Source organism: Homo sapiens, chromosome 7, assembly GCF_000001405.40.
Source record: "Homo sapiens chromosome 7, GRCh38.p14 Primary Assembly".
Classification (NCBI taxonomy): domain Eukaryota; kingdom Metazoa; phylum Chordata; class Mammalia; order Primates; family Hominidae; genus Homo; species Homo sapiens.
This window is the reverse complement of record NC_000007.14, coordinates 114,851,084-114,873,220: the sequence shown is the minus strand read 5'-3', so window position 1 is coordinate 114,873,220 and position 22,137 is coordinate 114,851,084. Positions and strand designations below refer to the sequence as shown.

General features: G+C 35.7%; 1 annotated feature.

Moving 5' to 3' along the window:
• Window positions 7,407-7,546: a silencer, noted in NCBI's record as "silent region_18547". NCBI's record gives its function as "represses an Ori minimal core promoter by ATAC-STARR-seq in GM12878 lymphoblastoid cells {active_cell/tissue: GM12878}" and the evidence as "EXISTENCE:reporter gene assay evidence [ECO:0000049][PMID:35858748]".

Genomic DNA, 22,137 nt, shown 5'->3' with positions numbered 1-22,137 from the left:
TTCTTTGGCAGATAGGATTAAAGTGTGAGAATTGATCCTGAACTCCAGCTGAGGGGCCTGAGAAATTATAGAGATAATATGTTCAGTACAACATCTCCTGCTGCCCAATTTAAAGGTGCTGGGTAGGAGGTCAGTGGAAAGGGAAGGCAGTTGGATGGCACTATTTGAAATATTTTAAATAAATGTTTTGTAAGAGACTAAAGTATTATGTAAAGGAATGAAAATTTTTTTCTAAGCAGAATCTTTATCCAATCATTTGATTTATGAATGAGAGATTTCACTTAGAGTCTTGGGGCTTCCAGTCAATCCAGTCTTCAGCTGAGCATTCTCTTCCATGGTATAGTTTTTAATGCCTTGTCTATTTAAAAAAATGACTAATAAGAAAGGTTGTATTTTTTTCCTACAATTTTCTCAGCAAAATCTTCTGTGATCTAATAATTCTCACATAGAGAAAACTGTTTACAACTTTCTGCAGGGATAGCTAATCTTTTTATGTCATAGTCACTGCTCAGAAGCAGTCCTAAACCTCTTACGGATCCTAACAATGTTATACCATAAATTGGCTAGCTGAAGAAAAGCAAGATAAAATGTATGGTATCTCTAGATTTTTTTTTTTTTTGGAACAGCCAGGTATCCAGGAATCAAATGATTAACTACATACAAAAGCTGGAGTTGCATGATTGATTTGTTCCAGAAAGAATTTAGGTATTTACAAATGTGCATATGGTGTAGCAAAATAAAAATAATTTCAAACTTACAGGAAAAATGAGAGAAAAAGAACATAAAGCAGGAAAGGAAGGAGATGCCAGAAATAAGGGCAAGACACAGATTCATGACGTGGAGTCCACTTGTTAGAGGTGAACTCAAAATGTTCTCTAAGCTTGTAACATCAAGGGAAATCATATTTAATGATGTGGTTGACAGTATCCACCAGGAAAAAATGAAGCACTAGTGCAGAAGTCCGTCAAATTTTGATTTGCAATCTGAGAGGAAGAGAGGGGAATCTTTATTTTAAAATGAACAGCAAGTTCCCATCATTACAGGAGACATAGCGAGGAGCTTCCACCATTGTATCTAATGATGTCCCTCTTCAAGGCAGATGGCATAATGTAAGAGGAATCTCAAGAGTGAGAGAGAATTGGGTTTCAAATTACCAATATAACTCTTAGCCAGTAAAGATTGATAGCCCCAAGATCACTATAGTTTGTTACTTATTGAAAAACAGAAGGTAATAAAATAAACAGTATGGTATGCAAAGCTTTAATGTTGTGCTTAACAAGCAGGAGTGGCCAAAGTTACAAAAGGTCTTGGATATTAAACTGTGACGGAGTGGAAAGAGCACTGGACTGGGAGTCAAAGCCTGAGTTTGAGTTCCAGCTCAGCTAACTTTTAACAGTACAATTTTGCTGGGCAGGTTACAGATGATCCTATGGAGGCTCAGATTCACATTTGTAAAAAGGGGTCGGTAATAGCAATTTGGAAGGTTTATGTAAAGATCAGGCAAATTATTTTGCATAAAAGTTGTTTCTCTGCATTATCTGAAATAAACTTTTCTTTATATTATCTGAAAAATCCTTTAAATATGTAGTTGGAAGATGTTTTCAAGTATACTGAAAATTGTTTCAAACCTACCCCAAATGATAACTTATCTTTATGTGACTTTATAAATAGCTATATGAAGAAAGCCCTTTTGAAATATATTTTAATTATTATTAATAATACCTGCAATTATTTGAGATCCCAGAATGTGAAAATTAATCTATTAATTACTTGACATGTTTCATCTTATGTAACTAATACAATATTTATGAATCAAGTCTTATTCATCTACCCATTTTACAAGTTGTGAAATTAAAGAGGTGAAGTTACTGAGCAGGGGTTAGATGTGAAGTTTGTCCAGAAAGAGGACAAAATTAAGAGAAATTCTATGCTGAAGGAAAAGAAGATAAGTACTTAAATATAGAAATTATCTGTTGCACAATAAGATTGGGCGCTTTTAAGGTATAAAGTTACATTAAATGGTTATTGGTACTTGTTGATACCAGGTGTGAAATTCCTTTACAAGAACATATTTAAAGGCCAATTTTAGAAACCATGTTTGGTATTTGGTAAAAGTTTTCAGATAATTCACAGAACATTCCAATCCTTAGTCTTCAAAACCCAGGAGCCCAGGGCATTCATCTGTAATGTCCACCACTGATAGAGCCAGGCACCACTGGGAGCTTGTACCAGGGCCCTCCAAAGGCTACCTCACAATTCAACAGTGATGATACCCATGCTCACCTCTTACATAGTCATTTATTTTTTGCTACATATATTTTGAGAATAATCTTTTTTTTCTTTCAAACCAGAAAGACTGTTTTTAAATCATCCCAAATGAAAACTCGTTTTTATGTAAAATCACAACTGGTTGTTAGAATGAGCACCATTTGCTTTCTTCATTTTTGGGGCAAATTTTGGTCCAAGCAAAGAGACCCATGGAAATAAAGATCTACTTTGCTTTCAGTCCAGAGATTCTGAAAATCCAAAGAAACAGCAAAATCGGGTGTTGAATAATAAAAAGCACTAAAGGAATGTAAGAATTATTATTTTACCTTGAATAGCAAGATTTTCTATGAAACTATAACAGGCCAAATTAAATGCATATTATGTTTTATATAAATATAAATGAAATAAAATAAATATATAAACAAATGTATAAAATATAAATACTTTATAATAAATATTAAGAATAGCATTGAAACATATATCAACAATAATTTAATGATTTTTATTGATTCATTATCTTTAAATGTCTGAGGAATATTAATTTGTTTATAAGTTACGACTTGTATAAAAGCCATTTGCACAGGAGGTTGGTTCTGTTCTGTTCCCATCATCACCCAGCTACCTTTATTTGCTAGAAGAAATCCGTCATTTATTGCTAGGAGCTGAGAATCAAAACAGAAAGAATGTTCAGACCCTAGAGACTTAATATCTAATTGCAGCAACAGTATGGATGTTTAAAAGAGAAGGAAGAATAAATAACAATACAATTTTGCATGTCCTAAATTCCAAATGGAAGATTATCTGTCTTTCTAATTCTGAGGTCATATCAGCCAGCTCTGTGTTGATTTCTAAAGGATTCCAAGAGAAAACTAACATTATTTAAATATGCAGATAATTAGTAGAATAGAATTTCAGAGGATGGAACAATAGTGATGTACCTTTTGAAGGCCTCAGATTTCAAATTGCTTGCTCTTCCCTTGCTTCTCAATGAGGGAGAAATAGAATGGTTTCCATAATAATTTATAAGTTCCATTATTTGGGGTTCATTCAAATAAGGTTTTGCTATAATAAGAAAATGATAATTAGATTAAAGAGGTTTGATTTTGAATTCAATGACATTTTTACCACCCAAGACAAAGAAGGGTGAGTTATCTGACTACCTGAATCAACATTCATGTCTTTTTACTGGCAGGAAGATTTGGCCTAAATCAATTCCCTATTTCACTTTGAAAAATGAGAGAGGGGGGTAGAGATAACTTTAGTTATGTTCTATGTGTAAAACTATTAACAGAAGTCTCTGATTGAGTAGATTAAAAAATACAAAAATATCTTAACGTTGGTCAAAGTATTAAAGCATTTTATTTTATGGGTAGAACTTAACACTAGAGTTAAATTTCTTACTAGCATTTTACAATAGTAAATGTAGATAATATGTCACTTTTAAGCATGTAGAACATCTGTCAAAATGAAGAGTTCAGGAAAACAGGGTAGTATAATGGTTAAATGCTCAAGTCCTGGCATTAATGTGCCTAGATATGAACCCCCTAACATAAAAGTATGTCCTTCAATGACGTATTTTTTCTCTCTAATGCCCTAGTTTTATCATCTATAAATGGGAATGCTGCAGTTTAAATGCATATGTCCCTCCAATATTTATGTTGAAATTGATCACCAATGTGATAGTGTTAAGAGGTGGGGCTTTAGGGGGTGACGAAGTCATGAGGGCAGAGCCCTCAAAAATGGGATTAGTACCCTCATAAAAGAGACTGAACGCAACACTAGTGTCTCTTTTGTCCTTACATTACTGCTTCCAGGTAAGGACACAGCAACAAGGCACCATCTATGAAAGAGATGCCAAATCTACTGGCAGTTTGATCTTGGACTTTCCAGCCTCCAGAACCATTAGAAATAAATATCTATTATTACACATTACCCAGTCTTAGGTATTTGGTTATAGCAACACAAACAGACTAAGGTAGGGAATAATAACAGTACCTTCTCCATAAAATAACCATAAGGATTTAGTTAGAGAATATATGAGGAAGATGCTTAGCATGAAAATAACAATAAATGTTAGCTATTATTGATAGCCAATAATTTAGAATACATTTAACATTTTCCTTGTAGTCTTGAAACAATGACTCTCAATCTCATCTGGGTTAGCTTTTTTGGAATCATCTGGGTTAGCTTTTTTTAAAATTATAATATCTGCTCTTACCCCTAGAGGTTTTGATTAAATTAGTGTCCAGTGAGTTACAAGAGTTCCCCAGCTAATTATAGCATGCAGCCAGAGTTGGAAAGATTTGGTCCAAATATTCCCATGCAGACATGTAGCACTACACCCCTCTGTCAGCATCTGAGCCAGTCATTTCTCCAAACTACATTCTATGTAACACTATTGCAACAAGTTGTTTCCTAAAAATAAATAAATAAGAAGTAACTTAACATGGACAGATGCACAGGCAACTAAACTTGATGTTGTGTATATGTCTTAGAGATTCATTTTTCACAATAGCAAAATAGCAATTAAAAGATCTAAGTCCTACCTTAAATAAATTTATTTATTTATTTTTTATTTTTTTTTTATTTTTTTTTTAGATGGAGTCTCGCTCTGTCACTCAGGCAGGCTGGAGTACAGTGACACAATCTCAGCTCACTGCAACCTCCACCTCCCAGGTTTAATTGATTCGCCTGCCTCAGCCTTCTGAGTAGCTGATATTACAGGTGCATGCCACAATGCCCAGCCAATTTTTGTATTTTTAATAGAGACAGGGTTTTACCATGTTGGTCAGGCTAGTCTCAAACTCCTGACCTCAGGTGAGGCTAAGGTCAGGAGGCTGACCACCCACCTCAGCCTACCAAAGTGCTGGGATCCCAGGCATGAGCCACCACACCCAGCCAAATTTGTTTATTTCTGATGAATTCAGATTTCCCCAAAATCTTTTGTAATAAGGAAATGCTTCCTTAAGGAATGTTTAGCTTTCTGCTCAACCACATAGGGATTTGTACAACCCTATGTCAGTCTAGCAGCTTTGTACAACCATATGGGGTAAGCATCTCCAATTATTAGTCTGTTGGCTACAATATCAATTAATTAATATAGATAATCAATATACATATTAACAGCTGCTAGTCCTAAATACTGAGGATTTAAGGCTAAAAGTCACAGGGTGTAGCTATCTGAATTATGTATGATGTCTTTTTTTTTTTCCAAAATCACAGGTATCTTGACTTCATACAAGACCTACTACTCTATGCGAGCAGACCTGCCAATATGTATTCTTTAACATTTCACTGGAAGTCTAATAATGACTTGGGTTTGGAAATCACTGATTTATAACCTAGCCTTTCATAGTAAACCTTCGAGCTCCCATCTATTTTGCAAAAAAATCAATGAAGAAAACAAAGCTAGAGAAACCACTGACTAACCCAAGGAAAAGGAAGGAAACAAAGGATAGATGACAAAAGAGAAGAAGGAGGGCACCATGAAAATGCAGCAGAGCTGCCCAGTGCGTGTGTGTAATGCATGTGTGTGTGCATGACTGTGAGTGTGCATGCGTGTGTGTGTGTGTGTGTGTAATGAGACCGATGACATTGTATGGAGGGGGAGCAGGAAAAGAGGCATGCTTTGAATCGATCATAGGCTGAGGAGAAACAGAGCTCTCTTTTATGCGAAAGTAATGACAAATTCCTGGCCTTTAGCTAAAGATACTGAGAGAAGTGGAAGTATAGGGAAACTGCAGGAAGAATAAAATAATGATCAACTTGGGAGTTGAATAGTTTAAGACAAGAAACTTCAAACTTAAATGGCCATAGGAGTTAGTTAGTTTGGAGTCCCCAGCGTCTGTGAGTTCCATCTTTATGTTCATGTGCACCCATTGTGTAGCTCCCACCTGTAAGTGAGAATATACAGTATTTTATTTTCTGTTTCTGAGTTAGGTCACTTAAAATAATGGCCTCTAGGCCCGGCGTGGTGGCTCACGCCTGTAATCCCAGCACTTTCGGAGGCCAAGATGGGCAGATCACCTGAGATCAGGAGTTTGAGACCAGCCTGGCCAACATGAAGAAACCCCATCTCTACTAAAAGCCACAAAAATTAGCCAGGCATGGTGGCAGGCACCTGTAATCCTGGCTACTAGGATTGCTTGAACCCAGGAGGCGGAGGTTGCAGTGAGCTGAGATCACGCCAATCACTCCAGCCTGGGCAACAGAGCCAGACTACATCTCAAAAAAAGAAAAATGGCCTCCAGCTCTATCCATGTTGCTGCAAAGGACATGATTTCATTCTTTTAATGGCTGCATAGTATTCCACAGTGGATATACACCAAATTTTCTTTATCTGGTTTAACTGCTGATGGACACTTAGGTTGGTTCCATGACTTTGCTATTGTGAGTAGGGCTGCGATGAACGTATACATGCAGGTGTCTTTTTTATATAATGATACCTTTTCCTTTGTATAGATACCCAGTAGTGGGATTGCTGGTTCTATGTTAGCCGTTTGAAAACTTTCCATACTGTTTTCCATAGAGGTTGAACTAATTTACCTTCCCACCAGCAGTGTGTAAGTGTTCCCCTTTCTCCACATTCACGCCAACATCTGTTGCTTTTTAACTTTCTAATAATAGCCATTCTGACTGGTGTAAGATGATCTCATCTTTAATTTGCATTTCCCTGATTATTAGTGATGTTGAGCATTTTTTCATTTGTTAGTTGGCCACTTGAATACAACACTTTTAAAGGCGATGTCTTGTTGGGTCCCAGCTTTTACATTTTGGGGGTTCTTTATAGATTTGTAACTCTTTGGTAATATGCTTAACCACACCTCAGATTAAAGGGTAACTTTCTAGATTTGATCCAGATAAATTCTCATGTCACTATTAGGATTTTGTGGGAAATAGGTGCCTATTGTCCAAACATGAAAGTTATGGTTCTGAGAATACAACTTCAACTTAGAGAGACACATAAATCTCAACACTGATGTTGGAATTTGGGGGAAGAAAACCAGATTTATGTAATGTTATGTATAATTTTCAAAATTCAGTTGTAAAGTTGTAAAATCAAAACTAATTTTAACCTCAACCTCTATGGACATCTAGTTTGGATAGAGAGATGTCAGTGTTGGAGCTACTCAAATTGGTTTAGGGATGCTGCCCCATACAGCCACAGAAATGGAAGCCCTGGGACATGGCTGCCCTCTTGTGGCTTGCAATTAAGCAAGCTTTGGAACCACTCACAGTGGCTTCGCTCTGCCAGAAACCAAAGAATTTTAGGCAATATTGTGCCTGGAATAGGAGCAGAGACTTAAATTTCTGGGTAGTTCATGGAATCCACATGTTGAAATCATGTTAGGCCCTGAATGTTGAGAAAGCATGGGCTTAAGTGAAAGTCTATTAGAAGGATTTCCAACCTAAAGTGATTGTGACTTGATTTCCTTGGAAGACTTCATTTAGAACCAAGTGTATAGCAAAGTGGATAGAAATGGGCATTTATAGCTGCAAATCAATAAAGAGGTAAAAGTACTCCATGTCTGTGTTCACTATAAGCCTTTCATTGGCAGGCTTAGAACACAGCTTAAAGAACAAGTCTTGTTCTATATAAAAGTTGAAGAAACAAATTGTAGTCAAGATTTATTAAGCAATGCTGGACATTTTTGTAACCTAAAGAAATCTCTCCAATTCTTTCTGTGCCTACCTTAGTCATACACCAAAACCAAGTTTGAATGATGGAGCTCAGGGCCAAGACACTGGGAAGCATTGGGCAGGTTGGAGGGGTGTTCCAGTCTAGCAGTTTTGTACAAGCTGATTCTCCAATCTTCAAATAGAATTCCCCTAACCTTAGAGCCATCCCAGCTTTAGATTGAAGACTGAATGCCCTAATTTACTTTTATTTTGCGTGAATGAATTATAATGAAATTCTCTGTATGTAACTATCTAGTTGCTTCTAGCATTCTGTAGACACCAACCATAAATAAAATTAATTCATTAATGATGTAAACTGGGTTTAGAAAAAAATGAGTTGTAATTGTTATTTAAGGGATAAATAAGTGAGAGGCTTATTTATCCTCTCACTAAGCGAGAGGCATCAGAGAAGCTGTGAAGGCATAAAAATGTTGGAGGAAAAAAGAAGGAATTTAGGAAACATTGCAGTTAGTTACGAATTAGAGTGCATTTTATTTTCTTGAACAGATACAATGAAGATCTGAATTCTCTCCTAGTGCTTCGGTCAAATGTAAGACACAATTTTAGAGTGTGTATCTAGGTTGTAGAAGATTTACTGAGTTCCAACTGCTTTGGGCAAGCACTGGATTGGGAAAGTACTTCACATATATTACTCCATATCACTTTCAAAACAACTTTACTAAGATGAGAGGGGTAACATCCTCAGTCTCTCTCCTCTATTAAGTGGCATAATCAAAATTTGAAGCTGGGTGTGATGGACTCTGTGGCATATGTTATTTCTACTACATGGGCAAATCATGAGTCATTCTCTGCTACGTATGTTTTTTATTATGTTTAACTAGGAGCAGACTTTCAGAAGCAGCTGACAGTAGCTATTAATTATTGTCAGAAGTAGCAGCTTAGTAAAAATTATTTCCATCTATATTTGGTAAACATTATTATTCAGGTAAACAATACTAAAAACCTAATTCAACAGGCCAATTCATTCAGCTACTTTGGCTGCATTTTGTATCTCACTCATCTTGATCAGCTACCATGATAAAGCATTTTTCAGAAAACTAAACATTTCATAGGACATATATAAACTTATTTCTGGCCAACTCACTTCCATTACTAATATACGCCATTAACATTTTTTCAAGACTAAATGCCTTTTTCATGTTATTTAATAAAGCAATGACACATGTTGTAACAAGTATTTTTTTTCAAGGGCTGGAGTAGATTTAAAGTTCCCTTTAAGGAAAAATTTGATCCTTCCGAAAGGTACCCTCTTTGCCCTCTTCCATCTAGAAGTGGGCTGGCCTTTTAAAGGAAAGTACATTTTAAGTTCTTCACCTTTTACAACAGAGTAATAATTCTGCATCACCCTTATCTGATTGGTAAAGCTTATGGATCTCTTTTAATTTAATAAGACAAAGAAATCACCCATGAATTGATTTCAATTGCCAAAGCTTATGTGAAATTAACTATCCATTCATCTCTCTAGATTGTCTAAGATTTATCTCTCTAATGAGATGCATCACCGGAAATCAACATGGCTGCACACTATTCTTGCATTTCCCTGAGGCAGTGTTGGTTGAGCATAGGGTATGTATAGACCTGAGGTCATATTCCAGCCTCTCCAAATGTTAAATGTGTAACCTTGAAAAAATTAATCTCCTCGAGCCCAGTTTCCTCACCAGTAAGGGAATTTTAGAAATTCAGGCTGGTTCAGCAAACAAATTTAGAGTACCTGTTAGGAATCATATTTTGTGCTGCAGTTAGCTGTACAAAGTTTTATTCATTTATTGGCCAATATGAATTTTGACCATACACTAACACTTAAGGGATAAGGTCTTAAGGGATAAGGTTAAATCTTTGAACAAGGCTGCCAAATTCCATGTCCTGATAGCTTGTATGTTAGTAAAATATTCAGAAAACAAAAAGGCAATAAAGAAGTCATTCACTATAAACTCAGATAAGTAATGGAAACTACGAAGACAATAAAACAGAATGAGCAGTGATTTTGTGGGAATATGGCTACTTTAGAAATGATAGGAAAGATCACATTCCATTTGACAGATACATAGATTTTAAGAAAGGATGAATAAGACATCTCTCTATTCAAGGAGTTTACAGTCTAGCAGGGGGAAGAGGGGCATCAGCACACTTTCAGTATTGCTACAGTAGAGGTATCCATTTAGAGATTTTGGGGGGAAGATGTGCTTAAGCAATGTAAAAATGCCTCATGTAATGTTATGCACAAATAGGTATTCACCAAATGTTAGTCTTCTTTTCTCTCTTTAAGATTTAACATGATGCCCTTCTCCTTTAATCAATATAAGAAAAAAGCCAATTGAATCATCGTGATTAGTTCTTCAAATCAGAACATCTTGGTCCCGTTAGATGTCTAAAGAATGGATGTTTTATTTTTTTGAGAATAAAAATGTTATAACTCCACAGACTTCCCTCTTATTTTAGCTTTTAGTACTAAATATGGTGCTTGATTTTTGCCTGTAGCTTCTATTTCTTATTGTGTCTTTATTTCTAATCATTTCTATTGTTGTCTCAATGTCATAAGCTGTCTCATGTTTTTCTATATCTGGATAGGAAATAAATGTTTTTTTTGAAAAATGTTCACCCACTGCTGTTATTTTTGTTTCTGGTATTTAGAGGAAGGGCTTCATGTTCGAAGTGGAAAAATCGTGCTAGTATTGTGCTTTTCCACACAGGCAACCAATATCTTGGATAAGACAGAGGCAAAAGGTTGTTAGATAAAATCACTTTAAACCACTCTGTTACTTTAGCATCAGACATTTGGGTGTTTTAAAGCACATAATCTACAATAAAACCTTATTGATGCAATCTTATTGAAGCAGAAGGCAATACAAACCATTAAGAAATTTGAAATATACACTGTCTTTAAACACATATTTAATGTAGTGATTAAGAATATGATTTTAGACTTAGACACACTGAGGGTCAAAAACTGTTTCCTGCACTTACTGGCTGTCACTTGGGTGTATGTTTCAATCTCTCTGGGTCTCATCTGTACAATGTGAGAAATAACACCTACTTCATAAAATTCTTTTGAGACTGAAGACATTGTAAACATCAAGCAATGTTTATAAGCCAATGAACAAAATATCTGATACATAGCAAGTACCCAAAATAGAAATTATTATTCAGATTTACTATCTGTGTAATAGAATGGTTTATGTGCTACCATACACTATCAGAGCAAAATGAATATTCCAAGATTAATAATTTTGCCAAGAATTATAATATATCAACCACCAGATTTCTTAGAATCCCTTCCACTCATAATTCAAGCTCAGGCAGCTCAACAGAGTTCAATCACAAAAAAAATCATATTTATATGGATTCATAAACATATAGAAGCTAGAAGGCTAATCATGAAAGAAAGGCCAAGGGTGGGGGGGTTTTAGTATGAGAAAATGGGAATCTGAAATTAAAGATCTGTCTTGAATTCTAAGAGACAGAATGATGTGAGTACTGTTGGCTAAAGAGATAAAACTGTGTACAAAAAAAAAACCAGATCATCTTCACCTTCAGGGGCACCTGACCTCTCAAGGAGAATGGCAGCATTTGCCAGAGAGTGAAGCAGATGGGTGGATTGGGATTGGCTTGACCTGCGAATGAGCATAGGAAGGCTCCAACAGAAAGAACCTAGTCTGGGGAAAGCAGTCCCAGTCATTGCAGGGATTCAGGAATCAAGGCAGGGATCCAGGCATCAAGGCAGGGATCCAGGATCCAAATCAGAGAATTAGGTAAGCCTAGATTCAGAGCTCATCTTGTAACCACTTATCTTTTATTCCATAGAACATGACCTGTTCCAGAATCTAGTATGAAGTTAAATGGCCTCAGCAGTAAAATTCTCATTGAAGGGGTGGGGGCCCAGTAGTTTACTATCTCAGTCCTTTTTCTCTTGCTTATAACAGAATACTTGAAACTGGGTAGTTTATAAAGGAAAAGAATTTATTTCATAAAGTTATAGAGGCTGAGAAGTCCAAGATCAAGAGGCTTCATCTGATGAGGGCCTTCTTGCTGGCGGGGACCCTCGCAGAGTCCCTGAGTAGTGCAGAGCAGCTCATGAGGAGGGGTTGAGCTTGCTAGCTCTGATCTCTCCTCCTCTTCTTGAAAAGCCACCAGTCCCACTCCCATGATAATTCATTAATCCATTGATGTGTGAATGGTTTAATTCCTTCATGAGGGCAAAGCCGTAATTTCCCAATCACCTTTTGAAGGCCCCACCTCTCAATACTGCCACATTGGGATTAAGTTTTAACATGAATTTTGGAAGGGACAAACATTCAATCCATAGCAAGTATCATGGTACACAAGAAATAGAAACATGAGATACAAGATATTAAAGCACCTCGAGTGGCTGTTGTATAATGAAATGGGGTACAGTGACTTTCAGTCATTCAGGATTTTATAAAGATGATACACACAGCAAGATCAGGTGTGTTAATTTTCTAAGTTTTCTGATGCCTACTATTTTTTTCTTGTAATTTACGGCTCGCAGGTTCAGTTCCTAATTCTCTAATTTTAAAAATTGATGTATAAAATCTAAGGAGCTGGATTAGCATCAAAAAACGAAGGTAACACCCCTGATAGCTGGAATGGCAAGAAGCCTGAATCTTCTTTGCATTTACATATGTGCAAAATAAATAAATAAAATTCTTAACCACCTGAAAGATTATCTTCTGCCTGAGGAATTTTGTGTTTATAATCTGACATTGATAAAAATCTCCATGAGAAGCACGTTTATTGTACCTAGTCCTTTGGTGAAGATATAGCTATAGACATGATGAATGGCCAGAGCAGGGAGAAATATCTATTAAACTAGTCATAGTTGACACCATGTTCCAGCACATAATGTTTGACACGTACTCACAGGTTACTAAAATGATTATGTACTCAAGAGTGAATCCATGCTGACAAACCAACCTTTCACTGATGGAAAGGGAGCCTGTTATTCAAAAGAGTGATTCAAACTTAGATTTAGGCTTTCAAGTAAGTACAGTGTATATTGATTAAAAAATAGGGAACTTTCAGCACTGAAACTCAATAAATGAATTGATAACAATTCTTTTTTGCTCTTATGTTGGAAGCAGTGAAATCAAATTAGATTTCATAGAAGCTTTCAGTATAATATGATACAGTCTATCTAACTGAACTGTAATTCACTAATTCAAAAAAAGTCTTAATCCTATTTTAGATGTGGTAAGCAGGGAGGCCAGAAACTAATGTGTCAATCAAGTAATAAGAAATATAACGATTGGTATATTTCCTGAAGAAAATAACAGCAACTAGTTCTTCTTAAATGTTCTCTTACACTGAATTTTGACTTTGGCTGTTGTCAACTTTTACCTGTTAACAGAAACACCTGGAAAGCAGCAAATGAGGTTGTGCTTCTCTTCCTACTCAGAAGGAGTTTCCCATAGTATAGAGTTAGGGAGTAGCCCCATTAGAATCTCCTGAATTTTTCTAGACAAAGGTAAATTATCAATTCAGGAGCTAAGAGTTCAAAGAGCTCTGACAACAGGTCTGAGGCCAGAGATGTGTCATGGAAGACGGTGTGTGTCATTTGCTTGGTTTCTGAATGTGCCACTCTGCAACACTGCCCTCCTGGGCTTTTATAATATATCTCATAGAACAAATGCCTGATGCCAACACAGTGTCAAAGAATTATAACAAGTATCATTTTAGAAGTTTTAACAAATATAAAAATTACTGTTATTCAGCTAAAGAGTCATGCATTCAAACATTTCAGTATTTTTCTCCTACTACTGCATTTTAAAATTTGATGTGCTCAAAGCATGAGGAAATGAAGAAGAGTTGAGGACAGGCTAGTGTCCTATAAAAATGCATAGCTCTCCTGTTCTTAACTACATTTTTTCAATCAACACAAATCAACACACTTTTATTACGCTTACAAGAAAACTATGCACCAAGCAATCTTAAAGGACCTTAAAAGTACAAAGAAGATCAAAATGTGATTTATGCTGTAGAAAAATTTTTGGTTAGTAGAAAAGAAACAAATGCAATTGCAAACAATACAGTGATATAACACACTATGACAAAGGTCTATATGTGGGATCAACACCCTTGGGTGAACTCTATGGCTGTTCTGTGGTATTGTCATCACTGAGAAGGCTTAGAGCAATTTGGAAAATTGTAAATTGTTCTCACATCTCTTTTGGCATCTCTCTACCCTTTCTAGTGGTTCTCAACCATGAAAATCTCTATTATTCCCAACTGCATTCCCCTTTTAAAATTATCTAATAGATTTCTTTGCACTTAGAAGAATATCTAAATTCTTTTTTTGGTTGATAAAGCTTACAAGATCTGGCCCCACCTTCCTCTCCAAGCTCATCCTACTTATTCATTAGACTTCAAACATACTGGTCTTCTAACTCAGTGCCTTTCAAACTTCAATATGCATCAGATCACCTTGGGGTCATGCTAAAATGCTAAAAATGCAGATTCTTATTCCAAAGGTCTGGGGTGGGAAACAAAATTCTTGCATTTGTAATAAGCTCTAAGGTGATGCTGATGGCACTAGTCCTGGGAGCACACTTTGAGTAGCAATGTGCCAGAGGACCTGTGTTCATTCCAGACACCATCAAGCTACCCTGTAATTGGTAGCAATGCAACTCACCAAACTCATTCCCTCCTTGAAATCATGGTGTGTGTTGCTCCTTCAGCCAGGAACTGGTTTTCCTTAGATCTTTGTATGTCTAACACCTTGTCCTATGTAAGTCTCAGCTCAAATGTCAGCTCCCCAGAAAAGCTTTTCTTAATGACCATATATAAAATGGTCCATCCAATCACTTATCTGTAATGCACCAACAATTTTCTTATTTTAATTACACTTATCACCCTCTGAAGTTTCTTTACTTATCTATTCATATACTTGTAAGCTCTGTGAAGCAATGGCACAGACATTACTCTTCAACTCTGTTTCTCAACACGTAAAGCATTGCCTAACACAAAGGGCTGGCTTCATGGGTGCATAACCTATGCAATTATACTGAGGTCTCTGCTTGGCTTAATTAATTAATTAATCTGCTGTTGCCATCTGGAGATTCATAATTTTATCTTTGAACTTGTGTTTTGTATGTGAAGTCCAATGGGACACTGAAATATGCATGTGAGCAGAGGAAATACACTCAAAATATATGTCCTCTCTTCTTTGCTGCATCATTTTCATGTTGCATTCACAGTGCCCCATCAGTGCAGAATTCCAATGGGTCCACAAGTGTGGGCATGCAACAAGACTCAAAGCAAGTACAAGGTAAGTGTATTACATTCATGTCTGCATAAGTGAGGTACTGACAGACCCAAGAGTCCAGGCTTTCTATTCAAACTGGAACTTGCTTCAAAAGCACAAGGTGTTGGTGTTCTAACCAACCAATTAGAAGGCAATGGTGTGCTAAGAAACAATAATGACCGAGTCACCCTTTTATATTCTTTCTTTCTACTACTTCACTAGCTCACCACAGACATAGAAAATGATGACATACAAAGGAATGGCAGATAGGGCAACCCACAGTTCCCTTTCCTTTCAGTTCTTCCTTACTCAAGACAAACATAATGAGTATTGGTAGAATGTGCACACATTAAGAAGTGAAAATGAACCAATTGAGTTAGTTTTATGCAGTGTTTTACTATTTTATAGGAATGAAATAGATGTTTATACAAACTGTAAAATACAAATTGCATCATTTGGGCGAATCTGGATATATGTTAAATGCACTTATATTTTCATTCAAAACTGGCATGCCACAATATAAAAATAATTGGTAAAAGTGATATTAATAATTTAAAATTATATTTTTTAAAAAATGAAAATGTTTTTAAAAACCCATGATACGTCAAAGAGATTGCTGAAGAAAGAAAAAGCTTTATATTTTAATACCTTTATAACAATTTTTCCTGCCTTTTGAACAAGAAAGCCCACATTTTTATTTTCCACTGGACCCCAAAAATTATGGAGTCCACTCCACTGATTCATAGAAGTACTTACTGAATGAGTAAAAGTTTTGTGCATTTACTATGTGCTGGCATTGTATTAAACTCTTTACATAGACAATCTCTTTTTATCCTCAAAATAACCTTTCAAAATAGATGTTACTGATTAACAGATAAGAAAATTAAGGCTTAGATTAAATAATTTAGGCAATATCTTAAAGATTATTAGTAATGAAACTAGAGTTCAAACTAGTATTCAGTTGTATAGGACCCCAAAGTGCAGTTTCTTGATGGCTTTGCTGTAATTCTTCCCAGAAGCCAGTCTCATTCCAGCCTTTCCTTCGACTGCTGTGAGTATTCCATAGTGGGTCCAAGGTTCTACTGCAAAACAAAATGAACCAAGAATCTGACCCATTTCTACCTTAATACAAAGAACTCTAAAAGGACTCCAGTCCTGTGTCCCCATCCAGATTATCACATGAATGCATGTAAATAGTTCATGATTAGCTAGGTGCTGAATGCCAGCTAATTCCGGAATTTCCTGGAGTATTTCAGGAATTTGTGTCTCAGAGACTGGAGAAACTTTCAGTCTAATTTTGACATCTTATTTAGCCCTCCAAGATGAAGACCATTTCCCTGGTCTACATTAAAATCGTGCAGGTATTTCTAGCTATATTCTAGAGCACTAAGAAACAATGTCTCTCAGCAGTTTTAATCTTCTTTTCCCAAATCTCACTGGCAAATATGAGTACATCTTTTATTCATGGTGTTGAATAAAAGCCTCTGCCTGGACATGCATGGTGTTTAAGATATTTTAAATAATGTTCACTATGGTAACAATATATTTGGAGCTTCTATTATCTGGACATTAAATTGTTCAATTAGAGGGTGAAATATAGTACCATAGCCTTGAACATTTAGTATTAATGAAACAAAAAAAAAATCAGCATGTAATGGGCATCTCTCATTTCTATTTAGTGTTTATTAGAAGAAAGAATCTATTATTTAACATATTTGTGATTAAATATGTTTTACCAGTATAGTTTTTAAATCAAATATTTACTTTTAGCATGCATTTTTTTGATAAAAGTATTTATTAGTGTAAATCCATTTTGAGATCAGATGTGTCGTAATAGGTTCATTACGTATAATGGGACCTAATCACAGGCACTTACTTTCACTCTGTTGCAAGGTGCAGAGCTCTAGATAATTACATGGTAACACATTCATACATCATGCTTTGCAAGAGATTTTCAAATACTTTTAATTTTGTTGATATCAACATCCTCAAATATCTATATTCACTTTTCCTTCTTCAGTATAAAATCCATCAGATACACAAAATTTAGTAAAAGAGCTATTTGGATATCCTTTAATTTGGACTCAATTTTTAAAACTCACTTACTTGTAAACACTTTTCTAACTTTTAAACTGTACTTTTGTCTGTGAGAGAAGTCAGTTGCTTTTGCTCTTTATATAACCAAAGAAATGACAAGAGAAAAACTGGTAGTTTTCTTAGCCTAAATTTTCTTATTTATAAATTGAAGGCAAATGGACATAATGATTTCCAAAAGACTTTTCTTCTCTACAATTCTGGAAAGTTCATTTTTTTTCTTTTAATACAAACCACACACTACTGCACCCTTCCTTTTGTTTTGGCTCCTAACATTATTTATGGTCATTTAACTTGCTCAAAAAATATATTAAATTACCAAATAATTCAGGCAAAAAAGTACCCATGGTCATTATAATCAGTAGCATTACTTTGTATATACATATTTGTTTTGTTTTGATATTTACTTCAATTCCTTACTCCACTCTAGAGAGGAATATTGATATTGTGTGTGGTACTGATTTTAAAAAGTGTGAATCTCCATCTACTTTGTCATGTGATAAGAATTTGTTTTTCAATCTCTTGATGAATCATTTGATGCTTTACGTATGTTTGTTTGGTGAAGGAAGGAAGAAAAAAAGGGAGGAGTAAAAAAAAATAAAATTTTAAGTTATCCCAAAAGAAGTATGAAGCACTGTCATGGATAATATATTTCCAGTAATAACCTTTTTTTAAAAAAAAAAAAAGTTTCAAAGATGACTTCAGAATTTTTTTGTATATTTTTGTTTTTACATGTGTGTGTCTTTTAGAAAAACCGGAAATAAAACAAATGCTAAAAGATAAAGAAAAAGAATATGGAAACAAATCATTTTCTCAAAACTTTTCAGACTAAGCTTCAAGGTCCTGCGATATGACATATCAATGATAAATGTCCTTCCTCCATCTCATAAACTAAAACATGAAGCATGCTTAGAAAAGTAATCAAGATAATTTCCATCCGTATTCTAAGCATTTAGAGCAGTTGTTCTCAATCCTGGCTGCACAATATAATCATCTGGAAAACTTTTAAAAAATTTCTGAGCCGCACCTCTGATCAATTAAAATCAGATACTGGGTGAGACTGGGCATTCCTACTGTTTTTAAAGCTCCCTTAGGGATTCTAACGTTCGCTGGGGTTGAGAGCATTGATTTAGAGTAAACCCTATTATACAGTGCAGTAAGAAATATATATTTAAATTTTAAGTGAGAAGGCCATTTTTTATAAGAGTTTGAAGTCACCTTACAAACCTCATGATATATTCTGTCCATTTTTCAATGATGACCCAAACCAGAAATCAAAAGCACCTGAGATCATGCTGAGCCTGTGGGATTATGAGTCAGTGATCATACAGCAGCCTTTAAAAGAGGCAGTTCCTTGATGTGTGCTGACCCTCTTTCCACGGTGGCCATCTCTCCAGGTAAGCTCTGGAGAACCAAACCACCCTGCCCGGCACTGGCTCTTCTTTAAGCTTTTTTTTTCCCCCTCCTGTTTGAAATGGTTAAATTGAGGTAAAAATGTAATATTCATGTGATACATTGAAGCTCCCTAGAATGGAAATTTTTATTTCTTTGCCAAAGGAAGCAAGAACAGTTTGCAGGCAAAAATATTAAAATAAAAATTGCCTACATTTTTAAATTTCTCTTTTATTTGGATTCTTACCAGACCAAAGTGAAATGTGACCTGCAGCTTTGAGATGTCTCCTAGAATGAATAATCTCCAGGTATATTCAAAACCATTAATTGCCTCTGAAGGGAGCAAAATGAGGCTTCCCCAGAATCCTGTTATTTGAAGGAGAGATACTGAGCTCAGTGTTTGCTGCTTCAGTGAGTTCCTATGGCCAAGGTATTCATGTTGCGCTTGAACTATGAAGTTTGAAAGGAATAACTTGGGCAGAGAACTTTGTTGTATTAGCGTGAATGCACTGAAGGCCTTGTAAAGAAGGTTGTTTGAATTACATGTATGTTAAACAGTTTCAGAAGAAGTGTTTCCACTTTAGGTTTTTGCGCAATAAAACCCAAATTGCAGTTTTGACTACTGAGCTGAGTCTTTTAACTTGCTTTTTTCAAAAATAATAAATCCCCCTAATGATGACTATGCAGCACTGTCACACCCTGACAGTCTATCTCTTCAACCCCTATGTCATTAAAAGATCTGATTTACTTATTTATGATGATTAATAATAATGAAATATGTATGAAGAGATAAATTATACAAATGCTGCACTGTACGTCAGAGGGAGAGATACAAATTGCCAAGTCCTGATTACCTGCACCCCACTACGAACAAGGGGCAGCAGAACATTTTCTCTTCAGCTGATTTTCCTCTGGGATTATAACTTGGGAAGTAGGATATGAGAAAGTTTGAAAGGTATTTTGACAGGCTCAAATTCTTTTTTAATTGTGGATTTGTAAAACTCTACTTCTCCCCACTAACCCACCCCCAGCTTCTACTGTTGCCTTCACATCACATTATTTAAGGCAGCCTAGAATACCTTAGTCAATGCCAGCTGACGGGAAGTGTCAAATGCTTTTGTCTCAGCTGACACAGAAATATCAGACACCCTCCTAGTGCTTTTCCTGGATATCCATAACTTGACATGTGGGGCTTGTGTGCTGAGCAAGTTAAGTGAAACAGTGCATCTCACGGAAAACGCTGTGGGTGGATGTGAAATGGGTTCAGGATGGTCGTGAGGTGATTTGTTTTGAGGTAGATCATCACCACAGCATGCTTATTAATTCTTAATCGCGCATGATGTATCTACTTCCTTTGGTTAGGAGGTTTGTCATTAAGGAAAGAAAGAAGACATAAACAAGCCCAAGCCCCCCAAGTTTCACATTCGATAAACAAATGGATAATATTTTAAAAAATAGAGACAATGTTTTGCTATGTTGCCCAGACTGGTCTCGAACTCCTGGGCTCAAGTGATCCTACCACCTTGGCCTCCTAAAGTGTGAGGATTACAGGCGTGAGCCACCTCACCCAGTGAAATTTTTAAAAATACAAATCATTGAGTGGACAAAATTTAAATGAGTTAATGTGTCTGCCTAAGCTGAAATTCCATAGATTTGTCACTGAAGTTTCTAGAAGGCTGTAAGCTTTCTCTTGTCTGCTTGTCTCAGTCCCTCAGACACAAACAATGGCCTTGTTACCCATAAAAGAATTTTATCACCTTGTTTTCAGAAGACCTGGTAAAATTGACTGGGGAAATTCCCTATTTGGAAAAGTTGATAGGATCTTGTCAATACCTGGAACAGAAAAAAACTACTGATATATACTCTCCAATATGATAACATCCCCAATCCATGAGATCCTTGAGGAATACATATAACCATTTCTAACCAAATCACTAGGTCATTATGCCCTACAGGCTCATTGCTGTTTTTAGCTATTTCCAAATCTTTGTCACATTAATCTTTCCATAGACATTATACACACACACAACAGATGTTCCTACAGATAAATTATGTGACAGAGAGAGAAACATGACACTTTTAGGAGATAAATATTAAACTAAGTCAAAACAAAATATGAAGCTGACAATCCTTATAGTCATTTGCTATTGTAATGGAAGGTCTTGATTGTTTTAGATTTGTTTTTGTCAGATGGAGTTCATAAAAAATTTAGAAAATTCACTATAGATGCAGTCAATTTATAACTGTATTTTTATTTGCGATTTTATTGATTGTCTGTCTCTCCATAAGAATGTAAACTCTTTCAGAGCACTGATAAACCTGGCTTTATTCATTGTGGTTTACCTCATATAGTAATTTATATGTACCTCCATATAGTAATTTATCAGTAAACTGAAACAAAAAATAAATACGAATCTCACTAAGGAAAAAACATGAATCTTCTGTTTTACATTACTGATAGTTGATTGAGAACTAGATTTATTGGTTGGAACTTCTAACACTCTCATCTGTCATCTCGAAGTGAAACTTGAACATGCCATGAAAATATTCTACAAGAGAAGTAATAAGTATCACGCATTCATCAGAAGGCAGTGCTATATAAATAATCTCTTTACTTTTATTACTTGTGGTTTCCCTTTCTAAAACATAGCATTTTAAAGCTCTAGTGAGAAATGGAATGGCCCGCTATTTTATAATCCTTTGCAAGTTAAACTTCTGCATTTTTTGTGTTAATCTTAACCATTTTATTTCTCAAACTTTGTAATCTAGACCACATAAAATCTGGTTCATCAAAAACAAATTTAAAAATAGACTCCTTGAAAGAAGAAGAGTTGCCATTTGATAGAGGTTATTAAACTTACACTTGCATAAGATTCACTTTGGCTGACTGCCAAAAACATAGATTCCTAGTTTCCATCCCTAGAGCCATTAGGTCTTGGGTGGGGACCAGGAATCTACATTTTTAGCTAGTACTGTACCTCAGTCCCTATGCATGAGGAAAGCACTCTCAAAAATGTTGCCCTAGTAGTTTAGGCTTGAATTTGCCTTTTATTTGGGGGGAAAGGAGTAAAAGTTCTTTATTGGGATTTTTGATTATGCAAGTTTTTCCCATTCTGCCATGAAGACCATCCCTTCTGTCAGTTGATGAATTTCTCCGCATAGAGGGTGATCAGTCTTATGGGCAGACTTTCTGCAGATTATTTCCTCATTTGAAAATGGTTGGTTTATTTTCCTTTTCATAGCTCTGAGAAGAATGGGGGATTGGATTATGGACAAGATAGACTCCTTGAAGTACATCCCCACTGGAGAAAAGTAAGCTGCAGAAAACCAGGCCTGAGGAGAGAGGCAAGCAGGAGAAACCCTTTGGAAAAGACCTCACCTAAGGCTCTGAAAAGATTTTTTCATCTTCTGCTTAGTAAAATTCA